This window comes from Homo sapiens (assembly GCF_000001405.40).
Source record: "Homo sapiens chromosome 16 unlocalized genomic scaffold, GRCh38.p14 Primary Assembly HSCHR16_RANDOM_CTG1".
NCBI classification, from domain to species: Eukaryota; Metazoa; Chordata; class Mammalia; order Primates; family Hominidae; genus Homo; species Homo sapiens.
The window spans coordinates 857,617-879,023 of NT_187383.1; the positions used below are offsets into that span (position 1 = coordinate 857,617).

The 21,407-nt window shown below is 44.2% G+C and overlaps 1 pseudogene across 1 annotated transcript; it reads left to right on the forward strand.

Moving 5' to 3' along the window:
* Positions 1–1,951: 1,951 nt before the first annotated feature.
* LOC107987382 (protein FAM153B-like) lies at positions 1,952–17,169 on the forward strand (annotated as a pseudogene). The gene is made up of 8 exons (NR_171659.1): positions 1,952–2,024; positions 4,142–4,222; positions 6,495–6,553; positions 7,229–7,307; positions 11,467–11,537; positions 12,000–12,026; positions 16,541–16,601; positions 17,019–17,169. The product of NR_171659.1 is annotated as a protein FAM153B-like (transcript).
* The last annotated feature ends 4,238 nt before the right edge of the window (positions 17,170–21,407 follow it).

Genomic DNA, 21,407 nt, shown 5'->3' on the forward strand with positions numbered 1-21,407 from the left:
AGGTTGGCCTGTCCTCTTCCAGCCAGGCCTCACTCTAGGAAAAAAGAAATTGTAACCTCGTTGGCAGTTTCCTTTGCATAGAAGTAGGAAGTAGCTGCTAGCAAGGCTGGTGATGAACTCCGCAAAAGCTGGGAAATCTCATTTGAGCAGGAGCACCCATTATCTTGGCCAAGCTGCTGCAGCTGGGCTGAGCAGGTGTGGAAGTGTGGGTGGTGGTCGTGTAAGTTCTCCAGCCAAGGCCAAGTTCCTCTGCAGACCTGTGCATGATGGCATATCCAGATGATTCCAACCCCCTGCTGTGGATTCAATCCCATTCCATAAGACTTCTCTGCAGTCTCCAGACATCAACAAGGACCAATAAGCTAACTTTTCTGTGTCTTTCCTGAATTCTTGTCCCTGTAAAGCAAATTGAAATGTTTGTCTTCTACTAGCATTTGGGGGTATTAGTTTTTTTTATTTAAAAATAATCACAGTAAAGATATCAGGAATAACACACTTGTAGGATATTCACAAGGTACAGAAGAGTGGACACTGAAATCTGGACTTGTCTTTTCCTCTTCTGCAGCCTGCCAGCTTCTGCCTCTGGAAGTAACAACTGTTAAGTTTCTGCACATCTTTCCAGATTTATTAATTGAACAATCATATAGCACTGACAGCATGGCAAAGCCTTATAAAAGGGCTTTGGCTACCAGTGTAAAAGACTCAATTATTTTCCTTCACTGTGATCACTTAGGTGGCACCAGGAAGGAAAGCCTTATGCTCATTCCCTTTTATTCTTCCTAACATATTCTGTTTTTAAAAATGTCTTTTCCAGGGGCCAGGCACAGTGGCTCATGCCTGTAATCCCAACACTTTGGGAGACCGAGGCGGTGGATCACGAGGTCAGGAGATGGAGACCATCCTGGATAACACGGTGAAACCCTGTCTCTACTAAAAATAAAAAAAAAATTAGCTGCACGTGGTGGTAGACACCTGTAGTCCCAGCTACTTGGGAGGCTGAGGTAGGAGAATGGCATGAATCCTGGGAGGTGGAGGTTGCAGTGAGTTGAGATTGCACTACTGCACTCCAGCCTGGTCAACAGAGTGAGACTCCATCTCAAAAAAAAAAAAAAAAAAGTCTTTCCGAATTTGGCATTAAGAGATATATATCTGTTGTCTAGTATTTTTTAATTGAGTTTTCTCTCTCTCATATATGTGTATATTTATATGTGCACACCTGCCCAATTTTCTATTCTGTTGTTGACAATTAAAATTCTCCATTGACACAGGTAATATGTGTTTCTTCCCAAATCCTGTTAACCACCCCTTCAATTAGATAATCCCTGAAAAAAATTGCAGCATCTATATTAATGCAGTTTTTATGCCTCAGTAATGACCCATTTGATTTAATCGTTCTTAAAACTTGTAATGAATCAACAGTGATGGAAAGTTATACTGAATCATTTCATATCTGTTTTGATTACTGTGAATTATATTCTAAGAGATAGGCTTTAAAATTGAACTTATATTAATACATTTTAAATTTAATTTGGAACTAGTTTAGAATCGTTGAAGCTAGGACTCTCTGTTGACTCAGAAATTGTAGAAATGAGTGGGGATGGCATTTCACATCCAGCCTGGAATCTCCCTTTATTCTCAATGTATTGGCTTTTCTTATCTTTACCCTTAAATTTTCACTATCAAATATATTTGAGAGGCAGATCCTTTTCCTCCTGTAATATTTGTTTCATACACACAGAATAATACTCTGTGTCTGGGATTCAGTTTTTGAAATGAAACATGGAGTCTGAGTGACCCCTTGTTGATGTGACAATGGGTTGGTCAGGATCACAGCAGTTGGGCCCCATATTGTGACATGTATGCTTGTGAAAATTCTACTGTGACATGTCACTGACATGATCTGATGATGTAGGTCTTGCCTTTCATTTTAACTGCCACTCTGGCAACTGAACTTTGGCAGTAAACACAGCTTAGTTGTCTCAGAGGATTCACAATGGGAAATGTTTGTAGTTGCTGCCTCAGAGGTATGTATGTTCATTTCCATCTTCTGACCACAATTTCTTCAGATGTGCCAGTTTTTCTGTATGTTAAATGTCATTCTGATTATTTTTTATTTTCCCAGCTCCTATTTGTCCACAGATTTCTAAATATGTTTTAGAGTTTTATTACTCAATTTGTATTTTTTAATTCTTCTATCAAGATTTTTGCCTCAAATGATTTTTTTCTAGAAAAACGCACTGTTTCCAATGCCAATTTTTTTTTTGGACAGTCTTGCTCTGTTGCCTAGGCTAGAGTGCAGTGGTGTGATGTCGGTTCACAGCAACCTCCACCTCCCAGGTTTAAGCAATTCTGCTGCCTCAGCCTACTGAGTAGCTGGGATTACAGGCATCCACCACCATGCCTGGCTAATTTTTGTATGTTTAGTAGATACAGGGGTTCACCATGTTGGCGAAGGAGGTCTTGAACTCCTTACCTCCTGATCCACCTGCCTTGGACTCCCAAAATGATGGGATTACAGGCATGAGCCACAGTACTTGGACATTTTATTTTTTTGGCAGAGTCTCGTTCTGTCACCCAGGCTGGAATGCAGTGGCATGATCTCAGCTCTCTGCAACCTCTGCATCCTAGGTTCAAGCAGTTCTCTTGCCTCAGCCACCCAAGTAACTGGGACTATGGGTGCCTGCCACCATGCCTGTCTAATTTTTGTATTTTTAGTAGAGACAGGGTTTCACCATATCATCATATTGACCAGGCTGGTCTCAAACTCCTGACCTTGTGATCTGCCAGCCTTGGCCTCCCAAAGTGCTGAGATACAGGGGTGAGCCACCACACCTGGCATTTTTCCCCCACATTCTTTCATAGACTAGATACAGAAGAAACCACTGAAAAACAAACTGGGGTGCCACATTTTCAGTTAATTCCCATTAATTGCTTGTTCAGAATGTTTCAGTTGAAGGGAAGTTGATTCTTGGCACAGCCATCAAGTGGTAGTTAGTTTGGAATGTCCTACATTCCAAATTAACTTGGGGGCCAAGCAGAACTTGGTCCCTTGGTGTGGTCAGTTGATCATGGAGGAGTGCTCACTGCCAGACAGCAGACAATACAGGGTGCTGGGTAGGATGACCAGACATTTGAATTTGTTCCTCAGAGAGGCTTCATTTGCAGGAAAGTGCCACATTTTAGCACTGGAGTTAAAATGTAGAGACAGGAGTTTTGTTTTGTTAAATGATTTGAGGTTTTTTCTGGAGTCACCACCTCTTTAATACACCAACCTTCCCGAAAGGCCCTTGGTGCAGGAGGATTGAGAAAGGGAGAGGAAAGAGCTCCAGGTTCAGGGTCCAGGCCATGATTTAGAGGCCTCAGATGTTCAGGGATCTCTGTCCCCAGAAAACCAACCAAATTCTTGTCCCAGATCTATCATTCATCAGTGTTGTGACTCTAGGCAGGTCGCTTCAATTCTCTTCATTTCACTTCCCTGAACCATCAACTCTTGAGTGGCAGCCCCTGCTCTGCCTATCTTTCTGGGGTGATGTGGGCATCACAGGAAATTTGAATGGAACTTTTTCACGAGTTCTAAAGCATGAGATCCATGTCAAGAATGAAGCTAATTTTACCCTCCACTGCCCTGGAGTCTCCCAGTGGCTTCTCTATTAATCACTACCAAGGGCCTGGCTTATTCTTCCAGATGTGAAATAACTGAACACTTTATGGTACTTAGGAAGCACCGATCTTAAGGCTTTAGGTCCATTTAACTATTTTTACCCTTTTAACATAACGTAGGCCATTATCAACATTTCCACATTCAGACTAGGGATTAGAGGCACAGTGGAGTCTGTAGAACTTCCTCAGGTTCTAGCAGCTTCTCAAAAGTCCTTGAGCTCAGATCCTATGCACCAGACCATATGCTCTTGGTCACTCCAATCTACTACCTGTCTGTAATGTCTCATCTCAATACAGGCATTTGCCTGCACAGTTATAAGTGCAACCCATAGTGCAGGTTCATTCTGAAGCCCAACTCAGATTCAGGGGGCTTTGCTCTGCAGATGATGAACAATGGGATCAAACATTTAAGCTGTGAATAAATAATTACTCATTTCTCTGATCTTTTGCAGCAAGATATCAACAGTTGTCTTTATTTTAGTTCATTTCCCAGCATATTCTGTTGAAGATCAAAGAGTGGATCCTGGGGTGCCAGGGGAATCCACCGTCTGCCACCACAAGTGTAAGAAGTGAATCCTCCATCACTGGCTTCACAGCTGTGTACACTCTAGAGTTGCATCAACAGAAGTTATCTTGGAAATTCAGTCATTCAGTTCATTCATGATATGATTTCTAGATTCTTCAGTGTCTCATATTTCAGACAATTATAAAATTGCAATGCTATATTCTTTATATCGTGTACATATGTAAATGTGTTAAGTCAATTACTAGTGCTACAACTACAGGAGTAAAGGTGTATTTCCATTCCAGGTTTGGGTTTACTTTTAATAGTAAATAACATCTCAGTGCAAATTGTAGATATTTTGCTGATTGTTAAAACATTAACTAAGAAGGATCTTTTTCTGAGACAGTGTTGCCAGATTTGTAAAGCAATGGACATCACTTCAAAATGTTTGGAAGTAACCTAAAAATGGAGGAAGTGGTACTGAAAATTTCCATATACCCACCTTCCTCAGTGTTTTTTTGTGAACCCATCTTACATGAGTGTGATAACGCTTGTAACAATGACCGAGCCAATAGTGATACATTCTTATGAACAGAAGTCCAAGGTTAGCATCAGTGACTGAGCCAATAGTGACACATTCTTTTGAACAGAAGTCTAGGGTTAGCATCAAGGTTCACTCTGTGTTGTCCAGTCTTTGGGTTTTGACAAACTGACAATGTCCTTTGTCACCCTGATGGAATAATTTCACATCCTAAACATGACCTGAGCTGCACCTACTAATTCCTCTCCTTTTCTGATGATTCCTGACAACTGTGGATGATTTTACTGCCTCTATAGGTTTCCTTTTCCAGAATTTTATGGAGTTGGAATCATAAAGTATGTAGCTACTTATGACTAACTTATTTTACTTAGCAATATACATGTGAGATCTTTTGTATTGTTTTGAAGCTTAACAGCTTAATAACTCTTATCAGTGAACAATAGCCCATTGGTTTCATCAAACAGTATTAGTTGGCTCACTCACCTCCTGAAGACCATCTCAGCTGCTTCCAATTTGGGTAATTATGAATAAAGTTGCCCACATTCTTGTGCAGATTTTAACATGAACATAATTTTTAAATATAGCTGGGTAAATATATAGAATTTTGATCACTTGCTGGTAAGACTATGTTTTCTGTTGTGTTAGGCAGAATTCACCAGTATAATTATGTGGGCATGTTTTTTTAAAGTTATTACTTACTGATTAAATTCTATAATAATAGAGGCCTACCCAGATTATCTATCTCTCCTTTGGGTGGTTATGATAATTTCTCCCTTTGAATGCATTTGTCCATTTCATCTAAGCTAGGAAATTTGTGGACATAGACACTTGAATCTCACAAGTTTCCTGCTTGGTTCTTGTCAAAGGCTACTGTGCTTCCTGTCATTCCTACTCTAAAACTTTTCAATAACCTTTCACTCCTGCACTTAAAAAATTGCAGGCATAAATTTGTTGAAAGTATTCTGTTATTATTTTCTTAGTGTTCATGGGATCAGCAGGGATAATTCCTCTTCTATTCATATTATTTGTACATTGTGTTGTTTCTTTGTGATTAGCCTGGCTGGAGGTTTACCAATTCTATTGATCTTTTCTAAGAAGCAGCTTTTGGTTTTGTTAAGTTTCTTTGTTTATTATTTGTATTACATTGATTTCTGCAAATATTCTTATATTTTTGGGGAGGGGGATTGCCTGGTTTACAATTCACTACACTTTTTTTGTCTAGTTTCCTAAGGTGGAAAGTAAGACAACTGGATTTGGATTATGTTTAGTTTACTGCACAGAATTGGGAAGGGCACTGATGCCCCTGAAGTGTGCACTTGATTATTAAAATAATAAATATGATGTATTTTGGCCACAATATTGATTTTAAAGCCAATAAAATGGATGATAAGTGCAGGAGGAGCATATGTAGATCCAGAAAAGATAAATGACATTATAACATTTCAACAACAAAAAAAGGAAATTTACCAGGCCTCAAAATGCACAAGGGGGTGATGGGACACTGTCATGAAATCAGCTGTGCATTTGTATGCTGCCCTGTGTGAACTCTGCCTATTTTGTAGCGGTGAGGGTTGCTTAGCCAGAGAACCAGGCCCTAACTTCTGTGCCTTTCCTGATGGTCTCATTTGCCTTCCCTCATCACCCAGGATGGTGTCCCAGTGGCAGCCAAGTTTCTGCCCTTAACCCACCTCCTTTACACACACCAGCCCCCTGCCCCCAGCACCCAAGTTTGCCTAAGGGATTCCTTCAGTGGAACCAATATGCTGACAGTTACTCTGTGTTTCCTAGATCACGATGAGCACGTGGCACAGGAAACTTCTTCTGAGGATGTCCCAGGCGTTCACATGGTAAGTTCTTCTTTATGTTTCTAAGATGGAAATTTTGTTGCTCTTGGTTTTTTATTTTATTTGAATTGAGATATGAAAATCTTACCATGTACATTATAGATGACTTACAGAATTTTTTGGTGGGAAAATGTGAGGGTTCATTACCAGGTAAGAAATGATCTCAGATGGTATTCTTAGATGGCACCTTCAGTTATGAACTGTATGGCAGAAAGAATTTTTTTAGGGGAAAAGCTTTCTTCTTATAACATTTTGACTATACAACCAGAAGAATCTTGGAAGTCTTGCATAAAAACCTAGTGCCTTTCCAGAAATGTCTTCTAGGCTTTATTTTGGGACCATCGCCTCAACCACTGTCTCCCATCTGTTTTTGTAATGTCACCAAGTAAAGAAAAGGTCTGTATGGTGAAACACCATCTCTACTAAAAATATAAAAATTAGGCAGGCATGCTGACCAGCAACTGTGATCTCAGCTACTGGGGAGGGAGAGGGAGCAGGATCGCTTGAGCCTAGGAGGCGGATGTTGCAGTGAGCCAAGATCATGACTCTGTACTCCAGCCTGAGGGACAGAGCGAGATTCCAGCAAAGAAAGAGAGAGAGAGAGAGAAATAAAAACCTGTGCACACAGGACACAGCATGGTCTGACCCTTATAGTGTTTTGTTTTTCTCTAAATGCAGGTGGACAAAGCCACAGAGACAAACAGTACATATTCTGGGATCACCCCTATGCTGAGGAAAATTTCTAGTGTTGACAAAGGTGACACTTTCTTGCCTCATTTTTTCTGGAGAGCCACTCTGGTTTGAACTTCCTGCCAGAAATGTGGTTCATGCACTTTTGTCTTCAAAAGTGAAGAACCCGGTCAAGAAATGTGACCGTTGACTCTAGTGCCTGGAAGGAACTGTGCCATTTGTATAGAAGAAGGTGCTGTGCATTAGGATTGGGAGGTATGGAGGAATGAGTCAATGTGGAGTGATTGTGAATGTCTCTGTGAGTTTGTGTGCTTTTCGCCAGAAAAGATGTTCCCAAGTGCAAAGCACAACACAAAGATTGATATTCTAAAAACAACATTTCATCACCACTGCGTTTTCCAAAAATCAACCCATTCATTCCTCATGACAGCTGTAGCTGGAGGTTAAGTTTGATATGCCCAGTCCTCACGTGGAGATGATGTAGAGATGAATTTTTCAGGCTTTTGTTCTCCTAAGTGGAAATGGCATAGATGAACTCGGGAATGGGTGGAAGGGTGATGCTGTGGGCTGCTAGTCTGAAGTTATCACATGGCCCTGGTGTAACTTGTCACCATGTCACAGAGTCCTTAGCATCTATGTATATATGTGAAGTATGTTGGCCTATAAAGATCTCCAGCACTGTATACCACAATAGAATGGTCTCAATGGTCAGCTGACCCAGAGTTTGAGTAGGTTCATTGTACAGTGGACTTTGGTGTGGTCATTAATATGAAACATACAGAAGAAGTTGCCAGGCCTTTGGTCTTAAGTGATGGGGTATTCCTCAGCCCCTGCTCAAGGGCAGAGAACATTCACAGATATATTCTATTGTATTTAATGAGATCATCACCACAAACGTTAGAAATGCTCCAATTCAGTAGCACACATACCCAAGACACGGCACACAACAAGATCTCAAGGAGCCAATTGGCTGTTAGCCTGGTTCCCATCTCCTCTGCTGGAATCTTCTGCACAGCTGGCTAACAGAAGGTCAGCATCCCCACCTATTGCCACCCATGAAGGGCTGTCCCAGTCCTGGAGCCAGTGTGAGTATGAGCAACAGCGGGCCCCATGACACACACACACACTGTGTTAACAGAAAGAGCAGAAGGACAAATATCACAGGCCAAGTAGGGGTCATCTTTAAATGGTAGGATAATTGAGTATTTTCAAATCTTGGTTTAGTCTTCTTTAAAACAGAAGGTTAATGAATACACAGAATATTTTGGCTAGAACTAAATCTCCTGTTGAAGAAAGGTAGCTTTTTATCTTGTACAAATTGTGGCCAGGCACGGTGGCTCACGCCTGTAATCCCAGCACTTTGGGAGGCCAAGGAGGGCAGATCACCTGAGGTCAGGAGTTCAAGACCAGCCTGACCAACATGGAGAAACCCAGTCTCTATTAAAAATACAAAATTAGCTAGGTGTGGGGGCACATGCCTGTAATCCCAGTTACTCAGGAGGCTGAGGCAGGGGAATTGCTTGAATCCGGGAAGTGGAGGTTGCGGTGAGCCAAGATCACGCCATTACACTCCAGCCTGGGCAAGAAGAGTAAAACTCCATCTCAAAAAAAAAATATTCTAGGAGAAACGAAAAACATAGCAGCAGGACACGTGGATCCTGGGGAGGAAATGACCTCAAGGGGATCAAGAAGGAAGAGCAAGTTATCTCAGGTCAGATTAGGAAGGAGGAGCCATGAGATGCTACAGGGAAACCCTGTGTGGTGTGCCCTGTTTGAGATGGGTTATGTAATGTCAAAGAGGTTGCCTTAGCTACAGGACCAAGGCTCTGTCTTCTGTGGCCTTCCTGATGCCTTCCTTCACCATTTGCCTTCCCTCAGCACCATGGAGGATGGACTGGCAGCAGCTGAGTCTGTGCTGTGGACACACCTTTCCACACATCTATCCACACACGCCAGCCCCGTGTCCACAGCTCCAAGATCACCTGAGGGATTCACTCCGTGGAGCTCATGTGCTTATAGTGACTCTGTTTCCCAGGTGACCTGGAAGACTGGGAGGAGGATATGCCAGGGCAAACATCCTCTGAGGAAGCCACAAATGTTCACATGGCAAAGTCGTGTTTTTTCCTCTGAAATGGAAATTTTATTTCTCTCGGTTTCTCTCTGTTACAATTGAATTAAGATGTACACATCTTACCATGTACACTATAGGTGACTGATAGAATTTCTTGGTGGGCAAATGTCAGACTTAATTATCAACTAAAAAATTGTTTCAGGTGGCATCCACATTTACAGACCGTATGTCAGCAGGCATTTTCCTCAAGATAAATGCCTTCTTATGAGAAGCATTTGGAATTGTCTAACAAAAACAATTGAAAATTCAGTACAAAACTCTTATGCCTTTCCAGGAATGTCTTCTAGATATCAGGGCCATTGTCTCAATCACTATTTACCATATTTTTTTAACACCAACAAGTGAAGAAAAGACTTGTGCACAAAGGACACAGCCTGGTCTGACCCTCATAGTGTTTTGTTATTTTTCTGTAGATGAGCGGGGACCCAGCCACACTGGCAAAGAGTAAGTATTCTGGGATCATCTCTTTTTTTAGGTTCAAAATGTTAGTGTTGCAAAGATGGCACTGCTTTGCCTGCTTTTGCTCAAGAGCCACTCTGGCTTGAGCTTTCTGCCAGAAATGAGATTTGTGAAGTTTGGTTTAAAAAAATACTGAGAGTCCAGTAAACAACTCTAACCACGGTACTGTCATCCCTGGAAGCAACAGTGTCACGTAAGGTGGGGTGGTACATCAGGGTTGGGAGGGACAGAGGAGAGAGTCTATATGGAATGATTGTGGATGTCTTTGGGAGTGTGTGTGCATTTCCCCAGAAAACATACTCCCATGTTCAAAGCACAACACGAGGATCAATGTGCAAGAAAAATTCCATCACAACGGCACAGTTTGCATGGATCAACCCATTCATCCTCCACCACAGCTGTACCTGAAGATAAGTTTAATATCCCCAGTCCTCAGATGGACATGGTGCAGAGTCGAATTTCCCAAGCTCTTGGTCCTTTAAATGGAAGAGGTACGTGTGACCTCGGGAATGAGTGGAAGGTTAATGTCATGGACTACTACACTGAATTTGTCACAAAGCCCTAGTATAATTTCTTGCTAGGCCAAGTTATTCCAGCACTTCTGTGTGCATGTGGAAGAATGAAAATCTATTCAGATCCCAAACACTATCATTATTGGATGATCTCAACGGTCAGCTAACCCAGGGTTTGTTTGAGTTGGTACATTGCCCAGTGGGATTTAGTGTGATCACTAATGTAAAACACACAAAGTCCTCAGGCTTTTGGTCTACAGTGGTGAAGTCATTCCTCAGCTCTTGTTCAAAAGCAGACAATAATCAATGGCATATTCTGTTGTATTTAGTGAGATAATCACCACAAGTCTTAGAAATTCAGTGGAACCCTATCCAAAGACATAGCATCCAATAAAATCTCCAGGATCAACTTGGGTGTTAGCCTGGGACCCATTTTCCCTGCTGGAATCTCCCACACAGCTCGGCTGGAGACGGTCAGTGTCTGCACCCCGTCCCCCTCGCTGCTCCCTATGACAGACTGTCTCTGTGCTGGAGTCACTGTAAGCATGAGGAGCAGTGAACTCCATGGTGCACACACATTGTGTTGAAAAGGAAGAGTGGAAGAACAAATGTCATGTGCTAAGTTGGAGTCATCTTTAAATGGTAGGATAATTGAGTATTTTCAAATCTTGGTTTAATTGCCTTATAACAAAAAATTTTTTAATGAAATCTTTTGGCAATAACTAAATCTCCTATTTTAAGAAAAGTTGCTTCTTATTCAGTGCAAAATCTTCTAGAGTGATGACATACAGAGCAGCAGTACCTGTGGATTGATTGTGAGGAGGAAATGAGTTTGGTAGGGATCAATAAGAGGGCAAGTTAGCTCAGGTCAGATTAGGATGGAGGAGCCCTAAGAGGCTGCCAGGGACACACAGCCGGCACTGCAGGAAGGGCCCTGTTTGAGATTGGCTATTTCATGTTTACGAGTTGGTCTGGAGCTAGAAAGCCAAGGGCCCTGATTCCCTTTCTTCCCTGCATCTCTCCTGTGCCTGCTATCCTCCTCCCACACCCACCTCAAGCAATGTTACTGAATTGTTCATGAGCACCACCAGCAAGGTGCTGATGGTCACTCTGTATCCTCCTAGTTCTGATGAAGGATCTACTACAGGAGCTGTCCAGTTACAACGGAGAGGAGGAGGACCCAGAGGATGTGAAGATCAGGCCACCTGGATTTGTCTGAGAAAAACTGTTGCTTTCTTAGCTTTATCTTATTTGGATTAAATTAAGATATGAGAATCTGGCAATATATATCTTAGATTAGTTACGCAATGTCCTTGGGGAGAATTGTAAGTGAGAGTCTGTCCCCCCTGAGGCTTGATTTAAGACAGTGGGAGAAAATGAAAGAATCAGTCACACATTGTGCGGCAGTGAGCCTTACCAATTTTGTTTTCTCTTTGGAGCAAAATCACTTACTTGCCAACCAACACGGACTTGAGAGGAAACATCCTCCGAGAAAAATTTGTGTCTTTAATATGAGTCGATTTGCTCTGTTCTTCTTTTGGGTTCCTTTCAACACTGGTTTCCGTCTTGTTTTCTAATGTCACTAAGTGAACAAAGTTTTGTGCACACAGGACACAGCATGGTCTGATGCTCATAGCAATTTATTTTCTGTCATTACAGAAATCCTCAGGAGTTATACAAAAGGGTATGTATTGGGGAACCCCTCTCATACTGATGAGTAATCCAGATGATGAGCAATGTGCCACTGTCTCTCTGGCCTTCCTGTAGACAGGCAGCCTGAGTGGAGCTTCCCCTCATGAATGAGGGCATAGGCTGTGATGGGAGAAATTGTTGTTCCAGATAAAGCATGATGGTCACATTCTGCAGTCCCTGGGAACAACTGTGGTCTCTGAAGTTAGGTGAGGTTGTGCGCATTGAGTTGCTGCGTGTCTTTTTGAATTAATGTGGTGAGTGTCCAAAATACGTAATGTCAAGGTCATGTACAGGCTCAGCCTCTATCATGCAGCCTAGTTCTGGTTTCCGTCTTCTATGCTCAGGAAACACAGCAACATGAAAAGATAACCAAAAGGCTTGCCCTAGGGTGTTACTGGCAGGGCAAGCACTTGCCTTCCTAGGAGGATAGAGGGTGACTCATGCATTATGAGGTGGGGAAAGACAAATGAGGCTGTTTTGCAGCAGAGGCTCCATGATGTTCCCATTGAGCCCACTGTTGACAGAAGTTTTTGTTTGCTTCTGAAGGCCTTTGCAAAAAACAAGTCAAGGTGGTTGGCTGAAGGTTATATGAAAATAAAATTAGCCAAATTCTGGATTGAGTTTCTTTTGGGAGCTTGCGTTTGGTGGAAATATATTGTATATGAATTGAATTTGATTGCTCTGTAGGTGTCAATACTTATCCTATATTTTAAAACAATGAGGCTGGTGTGATTTTAAAATGCCCCTCGTTAACCTCATAAACTATCTCCTCATAGCCCATTTCCTCCAGTCATCTTTAATCTCTAAAATATAGTTTTTTTTTTGTGGTATTTGGGGCCCTCTGCTGTGTGTGATTAAAGGCACAAATCAGCGTTACCAGCATTGAGGCTCTAAGAATTCACAGAGTGCTGTCCAGTGGGTTCTATGAGAGAGACAGTAGGCTACAGCCTTGGCCTGGGCCTGAAAAGGAACACGATTTGGAAGAGCAGAAGGAAGGCATGAGGGCAACAAAGCCACAGGGGGAAGCCAAGGTGCAACATCAGCAGAGACAGTTCTGCATCATCACCTGGGCATGGCCGGGATGTTCATATTACAACTGACGGAGAATGGGTCAAGCTCCAACTTCATAGCTGGTTTTAGCACTGTTGGCCTGTCTTCCTAAGAGCCTGAAGAGAGAAGCTACTTTCTTGTTTCTTGTCTTCTCTATTTCCTGTATGTTGATGGCAATGGCACCACCAGAAATTAATGAGAGGCAGAGAACACAAGTGAGTTCTTGAAACATCCAATTTTGCCCAGAGAGGACATGATCAGCAGGGATGGATTTCAGGGTCAAGCCAGATACAAAGTATTTCCCAGGCCTGGTCTCTGGCTGGGACAGAGATCAGCTCTTATTTTTCACCTGCTTCTGGGAGTCACCTGACAGCTGGTCCTTGTGTAGTTGCTGTTGGCCAAGTGTGATTTGGCCCAGAACCCTGTGTGACTGGAAGGAGTGTCAGCTTTCAGGCAGGAAAGCTGCCCCACACTAGATGCAAGAGAGGTGAGAAGAGATCCTGCTTCAGTGCAAGGTGAACTCAGCCAAGGGAGAGGGGCTGCTCCAGAGTCCAGGTGGTCCTTGCAACTCTCCCATGTGACCTATAAGACAAGACTTTTCCTGTTTCTCTGAGATAGTCTTGGAATTATTAGTCTCAAATTCTGTTTTGTTTTACTTATGTGTTGATGAATCCTGGCCATGGCTCGTCAATGGGAGGGCAAGGACTATGTCCTCCTCATTCCTTGTCATCCCAGAGCTCAGCCCTTGGCAGCCCATCTTGGGCCCCAGTAATGTTCCAATGCTTCCAACCCCTTTGCTGAGATCCAGCGCCAGTGTGAAAAGGCTTCCTGCTCATCTCCTTCAATCTGTTTTTTCTCATGGTAATCTAGAAACCTGAATGGATTCTGATCCAAGGTCACAGGAGAATAGGGTGGGGTCCTGAAGTCAATGAAGAGTCCCCCTCATCTCTACTCTGGCTACATTGGTTCACCTTTTCTCCTTGCAGAAGATGCTCTTTTTCTGTTTACAAGCCCTCCTTTGCTGGACCAGGCTTTTTTATTTTTGTTGTGGCATCCCTGCACTTCACAGGGGGCCTGGAGCTTGTTCCTGTGCCCCTGAAGCACCTATCCATAAATGATCAGATCAGAGCAGCAAACCACTCTGCCAGGAATCACCAGGGGGGAGAGTCACATCTTCCTCATCTTTGGGTTTAGACCTGTGCATTCCAGTGTGGTCCTGAGTGGCATATGTGCCCATTCATATTTAAATAAATGAAAAAATTCAAAACCTCCTCACAAGAGCCATGCTAGAAGTTCCCAGTTGCCAAATGTCTACTCTTAAGAGACCATCTCCATTCTCCCAGAATCACCTGGGAAGCAGCTGCTGGGAGTCTGGCCCAGGTTCTGTTCAGTGCACCCACCTAACTCAGTGCATGTGCATCAAGGCTTAATCTCAGGTTCTCAGATTGGAGGTAAGAGATGCTATGAGCCAGTGTCGGTGAACAGTTGAAAGGGATTATTTCAGGTCCTCTGTCTCACCTGAAGGTGCACAGCTGTGAGCAGTGCCTTCATAAAGTCCCCTGAGTTCACAGAGCCCAGGGAGAATCATAGTGGACAAAGCAGTCATGTTGATGTTTGTGTCTCTGTACATGGGCTCATGGGCACTACCTCTGGATCCATCCAGGAGGAAATAGACTGGTCAGGTAGGGACCAACACCCCAGGGTTGATCAGTGAGAGAGCGTTCTTGGAGATTGGGTTACACTTGTTTTGGAGCCTAGGATGGGATCAATGAAGTGACTAAATATGAAAGGAAACAGGTATAGAAGTCTGACTTGGGTTTTTTTTTTTTTTTTTTTTTTTTTGTATCTTAATGACAAAGTTGTAAGAGTTGTGTTCTTATGGGCTTTGTGTGAGTTGTGTTTGTCACCATCATTTCTTGCTCTGGTGTTTAAAGATTACATTTTGCAGAGGACCAGATCATTTCTGCCTTTGCCACAGCAAGCACCAGAGCCCTGGGTTTTGATGAGGTAGCATTTTTTTGTGAATAGAGATCACAAGATGAGTATGCAGGTGTAAAGTTGAGTGTGGGGTGGGACAGAGCCCCTTCCAGGTGCTGCGTAATCCTGAAGGTAAAGTCCTTCATACATGTGCCAGGAGATGAAAGGAGCCCACTGTCTTTCTCTACACTCTCAGGACCTGCAACAGCACCTTCCTGTCCTGTCCTCACCATCTGCTCCTGCTCTAAGGGTGCTCCCTGGGTTGGATGACATAGGGAATCATTCCTCTGGAATTCATACGTGTGCCCCAGCATCCTGGAGTCCTGAGGGCCGAACACATGATTGAGCACATTTTTGGCCTCCACTCCTCACCCAGTCCCATCCAATCCCAAATCCTTGGGCTTTGAATGAAACCTAAATTGGTTTTCGTTGGAGAGGCCCGAGTCCAGCTGTAGCTCAAGGCCCTCTGTGGCTGGCAGGAATCCTAGGGGATATATGTGGAGGGGCTGCTGTGTTGCTGTAGGCAGTGGCTCTCACCGTCTGTGTAGCCTGGTCCCTGGAATCCACTGGGCCCAGGGCAGAGCCTCTGGGCAGCTGGCACGGGGTCATTTATCTTGTCACACCCTCCTCTCTGGCCCAGCAGCCTTGTCCTGCTCCCCATACTCCTGTCAGGCCCAGCTTGTTCTCTGTGTCAGGTCTGCCAGGTGCCCTCCCTCTTAGTCTTCCCACAGCTCAGGCAAACCCTGGGAGGGCCCCCTCATTTCTGTGCTGAAAACTGCTGGCCTCACCTGCAGATTAAGGCAACTGGGACAAGGGGCTTTACTCTGAATTCTGTTCCATTGTTTCCAAATATTCAGAAGCTGATGGGATTGTTTTGAGGGCTGAATATTTTCCAAGTCTCTAAGGTCATTCCAGGCATAGAACAGTCACTGTATCTGTGACATCAGCCATCATTGCCTCCCACAGGCCCCAACACAACCCCAAGCCTGTGGGAGGTGCTGCCGACCCAGGGTGAGATCCGTCGGTTGATTGTAGGCCCTGGAAGTGAAGCCTTGACCTTCTTTCTGATATTCTTCTTTTGGAGAACAGTAGGACTGGTGGAGGTCCACATGGAGAAAGGAAATGGGATTCATGAGGGAACAGAAGCAGGCCCTACAGGACGAGGAGGGAGGGAATTCCATGTCATGCACAAGGTTGTGAAGAGGGTGGCTGCCTCTTGGAGGAACAGAATGATGCGGCTTACCCTCCCTTGGCTCAGTGATGGTATGTGAGGGCTGGGCAAGTATGTGGGAAGTCAGAGATCCCTCCCTTATAGCACAGAAGAAATGATACAGGCTGTGGAGAAGGCTCCAGAAATGAGCACATCAGAGGCTCTGGGGTTGGCTCCACAGCCCTGGAACAGCAGGGTCTGAGTGGTTGTCTCGACTCTAACTCTCCCCTTTCCTTCTTATGGCCACCCCATCACCACTGCTCCTCCAGACACTCTGATGCTTGCTTCACAGAATTGGAAGACTCCACCATTACAGGTGGCCACCAGCAGGTAATTGATCTCCTCTTATATGCTCTCTCTCTTTTATCCTCTTTCTGACTCATGAGCTCCTTTTTTAGCTCTGGTCCTTTTCCTCTTTCCCTCTCTTCTGATTGTTCTCCTGAAGAACCTGGTCTCATCCCACAGTTGAGGTTCTTGGGTCTTCAGTGTCAATAAAATCCTCTCCAGCCCTCCTGCCCACTGCCTTGGCATTGCCCTGTTCACTGGCCCCCAGGTTGCAGCTTTCAATCTTGCTGAACAACACTTCAGGGTCCAGGGAGGGGACTGGGCTGGGGTCAGAAGAGCTGGACCCCACCCTGCTGGAGGGACCCCCAGTAACATCTGGTCTGCTCTGGGCACCCCCTTAACAGATAGAACTTTTCTTGCACTGGCGTCTCTGGACATGCACAATTGTTCTCTTTCTCACAGATGTCAGCAAGTCCTTCCTCTGCACCTGCAGAAGAAGCAACAGAAAAGACAAAAGTGGAAGCGGAAGTGTGAGGGGAAGTGGAAGCAGGCAGAATGATGAGGGAAGCACAGACGTGCCCATGTTCTTCATGGCTACACTCACATTCTTGTTGTCCCATCAGGAAAACCAGGAAGCCCAGGAAGAATGTCCTGAACTGTTGGGACATTTTTAGTTTATTTTAGAGACCTCTGAAGGTAAGTGAAGGATGCCCTGAGAACATCCTCCAGGAAACAGACACCCACTCCATAGCAGCCCCTGAGCCTGCTGGGCTGAGCCCTCCACAGGCTGCGTAGTGAGGGAGACACTGAGGTGCTGGTCAGACCACCATGTGCTGAATTCCAAGGGCTGTGCACTCTGTTATTCGTCTGCAGTGACACTTCATCTCACCACCATCTCATTTCGGGGAACCTAGCTCTGTCCTCCCAGCCTCTTGAGGCCAACAGGGAGCATCACTAGTTCATCCTGAGGAGACACTAGGGTTGACATGAATCCCCCCCAGTTCAGGCCTCCTGGGAAAGGTGTGAGAGGGATGGGGGCATCCCCAGTTCCTTGTCACACAAGCAAGCAGCCCACTCGGCCCAGTATTGCAGGCCAGTGGGCACTCAGTCGGTCCTGGCATCAAGCAGAGGACATGGCAGGATCTAAGAAGCACTGAAATGTGCCCAGCCCCAGGGGTCCTTCAGCTTCTGTGGGGGACTGGGGGCCTCCAATCCCAGGGGTCCTTCAGCCTCTGTGGGGGTCTGGGATGGCCTCATGGTCCCATTTTTCAAGATGAGGTTGGAGGCTTCTGTACATAGAGAGCACTGACTTGGGCATCAGTTGTTCTGTATCTGTGCCAAATGCCAACCAAACAAACCCCTGAAGACATTTCAGGATGATGCTCACCTGGGAGGGGTTGAGGGCATGATTTAGGGAGCCTCTGTTTTTTAAATGTATTTTTCAATCTTGAAGTAAGGTACACATATGAATGTTTGTGTGTGTACATATACACTGCTTTTCACTCTTTCAAATGTATGTCTTCTGTAACCCTTTTATGCTAGAATATATGAACATGAGAAATTTATGTCTTACCAAAGCATAATTTTAAAAATTACAATGCAAAGACAGGTCCGGTGGCAATGCTAGGAAGACGAGGTCTTATTAGGCAATAAAAATGACGTGCTCCAGGAAGCTATGCATATTCAACGTGCAGCTCTTCTGTCTGGATGGCACAGAGGATCTGGGTGGCAAGGCAGAGTCACCACCCCCACCCTGTGTTATGAGCGCTCCTGCTCCTCTTAGGGCCCAGGGGCATGGGACTCTGCTTGTTGATCCTGGAATCCTCGAAATTCCCCCATTTCTCTCTGTCTGTTTTGCTCTCCAGGGAACCAGCCCCCTGAAGGTGCCCATGTGAGCGCCCAGGTCCAGTTCTTCCTCCATGACACTTACAGACACTCTCTGTGGACAGATAACACCTCAGCAGAGAGCAGCACACAGGGCTCAGTGCCTTGACATCTGAGTAGACCTGACTGTCAGGAGCTCAGGGGCCCAAGGTCACCTTCCAGTGCCCAAGGACCTCTCTGAGACCTGCACCACCCTAGGGAGCCCCTCCTCCCTCCACCTCTGTGCCTCCCCAGTGACCCTTGCACCTCTGTCTATGTTGCAAATTCCTCGAACACCAGGAAGGGCTTGATGTGGGGATGTCAACATGGCTCAGATTGATGTGGATCGTGATCATTTTGGGAACTGTGTTACTCCAAAAACTTTTATAATCTTTGCTTAATTTGTTTTTAAATATTTTCCTGGCCGGGCATGGTGGCTCATGTCTGTAATCCCAGCACTTTGGAAGTCCGAGGCGGGTGGATCACCTGAGTTCAGGAGTTTGAGACCAGCCTGGCCAACAAGGTGAAACCCCGTCTCTACTAAAACTACAAAAATTAGCTAGGCGTGGTGGCGCATGCTTGTAGTTTCAGGTACTCGGGAGGCTGAGGCAGGAGAATCGCTTGAACCCAGGAGGCAGAGGTTGCAGTGAGCCAAGATCATGCCACTACATTCCAGCCTGACGACAGAGCGAAGTTTCCTCTTAAAAAAATATTTTTTTTCCTGACTTTAACCTCTGTTTTTTAGAGGGCACAAATTGTTCTTGTGTTGTTTCTATTTTACATTTTTCCTGAAGTTATTTTCCAATTGTTTTCATTCCTTCTGAAGTTTTGTTTACTCAGTTTTGAGTTTTTGTAATTTTAATAGACTTCTTTCATGCTTTCATTTTCTTAATGACTTTTACCTCATTTTTAAAACAAATCCATAGTACGGTAAGTTACATCAAGATGGACTGTATTTATGTTTTGTAGTGGTTTATATTCTGTATGTATTTTACATATATAAGTGTTAATGGCCTGGTGCAGTGGCTACTGCCTGTAATCTCAGCAGTTTGGAAGACCAAGGCAGGAGGATTGCTCGATCCCAGAAGTTTAAGACTAGCCTGGGCTACATAGTGGGAACTCATCCCTACAAAAAAAAAATTTTTTTTAATTAACTGGGCATGGTGGAATCCATCTGTAGCCCCAGCTACTAGGGAGGCTGAGGCAGGGGGATTGCTTGAGTCTGGGAGGTTGAGGCTGCAGTAAGCCATGACTGCACCACTGCACTCCAGCCTGGGTGACAGGGCGAGACTCTGTCTTTTAGAAAAAAAGTTTATTAATATTAATATCAGTTAGAAATCTAGTTGTTCATTGCAGAACTAAACCAGTTTATAGCAGAAATAAGCACTTGGAGGGAAATGTTACATTTTCACTCCAGGCCTTGAGTCCTTAGCCACCAGCTGTTTGTCCTTCAGGGTTCTGTGGTTCCTGGTTCCAGAGAAATCATTTGCTCCAACGTAATGAGTGAAGAGTTCTTCAGGTGATGGCTGCTGGGCCCAGCTTGGCTGTTGTCTTTGCTGTCTTGTAAGCCTTGTGTTGCTCAAGTTCAGTTGTGTATTAGTGCACTAACTGTACTGCAAGCTTCTCCAAGCATGTGCAAGCAATTTGAGAGGAGCCTAATGTTTGCAAGGAATTTGAGAGGAGCCTTTTAAGGATGTTTTATTGGGTGGGTCAGATGAGGGAGATAACATGGGGGCAAGAAGGAAAGTTATTAATTCACGTGAAACTACCAGCCGTTCATCACCTAACTTATGATTTCAGACACTGAGCACATTGCAGGTTGAGAAGGTGCTTGGTCCTTTTTGTAGCCTTATGCTGTGCTCTTCAGAGTCATGAGTGTGCTGCTTTTTCTCACCATTTTGTTTCTTGTAGATTGTTGTCCTTGATGCTGGAAAACATTTTGAAGACAAGACTCTAAACAGTGACCTATGCCGCACTAGTTTATTGGAAAATGAGAAATTTACATTACTGACAAGCTTGGAAGATTCTTCTGTCCTGCAGTAACCTGTGTTTCCCTGGTCTTTATCTTGCCACTCTGCTTTATTCCCCTTTTTTGTGGCAGTAGTTATGATGCCAACTTTTGGGGATTCTTTGTCCTCCTCTTTTCTTCCTACATGCCAACATTCAAATGGCCACTTCTATTAAGTGATGGAATTCAAAAATTTGTTTCTGTATATTAATCCTAATATGGTTTCACTCATCCCTCAATTTAACATTTAGAGTACAAAGTAGTCACCTAGAGGTGCCACTCAATATACAGCACTGTGTTTAGAAATTGAGGGAGCCATGAATTATTTAGACTCTGCTCTCTGAAACTTCAGCCAGGTGCAAAGAAGAGATGCAGAACCACATTTCAGATTGTGTTATGTACACCCAGCAGCACCAAAATGAGCCTGGGAATCATGGGGGTCAGAAATTTACCTCTGAGGCAGGTATGGCTGAAGCTTTATGAAAAGAGATGGGGCCTGTGCCAGGCCTTAGATGTAGGAGAAGGAGGACGTGTCAGGAAGCAGAAACAGTATCATCAAAGGTGCTGCTGTGAGGCATGTGGGCAGTGTTTGGAGAAGAGCCAGGGACTTTCTGTGTCAGGTTTACAGCATCTGTGGGAGGCCGCATTGGTAAATAAGCCCAGAGAAGTAGGCTGGGGCTACTTACATTAAAAGTATGCATGGCTTTAAAGGCCAGCTGAGTGGTATAAGTAGAAACTGTAAATAGTATCACATTTATTGAGGACAGCTTTTGCTGCCAATAGAGTTTTTAAATTTTTTGTGATTGTGTAATTAATGGATGAAGAATTATTGACCTAAATGTATCCAATCTTTGAGTGTTTTAGTATGCTAGATTATTGTAGGTGAAATGGCTAAGTCAAAGGTGATGAGTGTTTTTGAGACTGTTAATGCTAATTGCAAAATTAACCTCTTAAAAAGGCACTGCCAGCTTAGACCATGA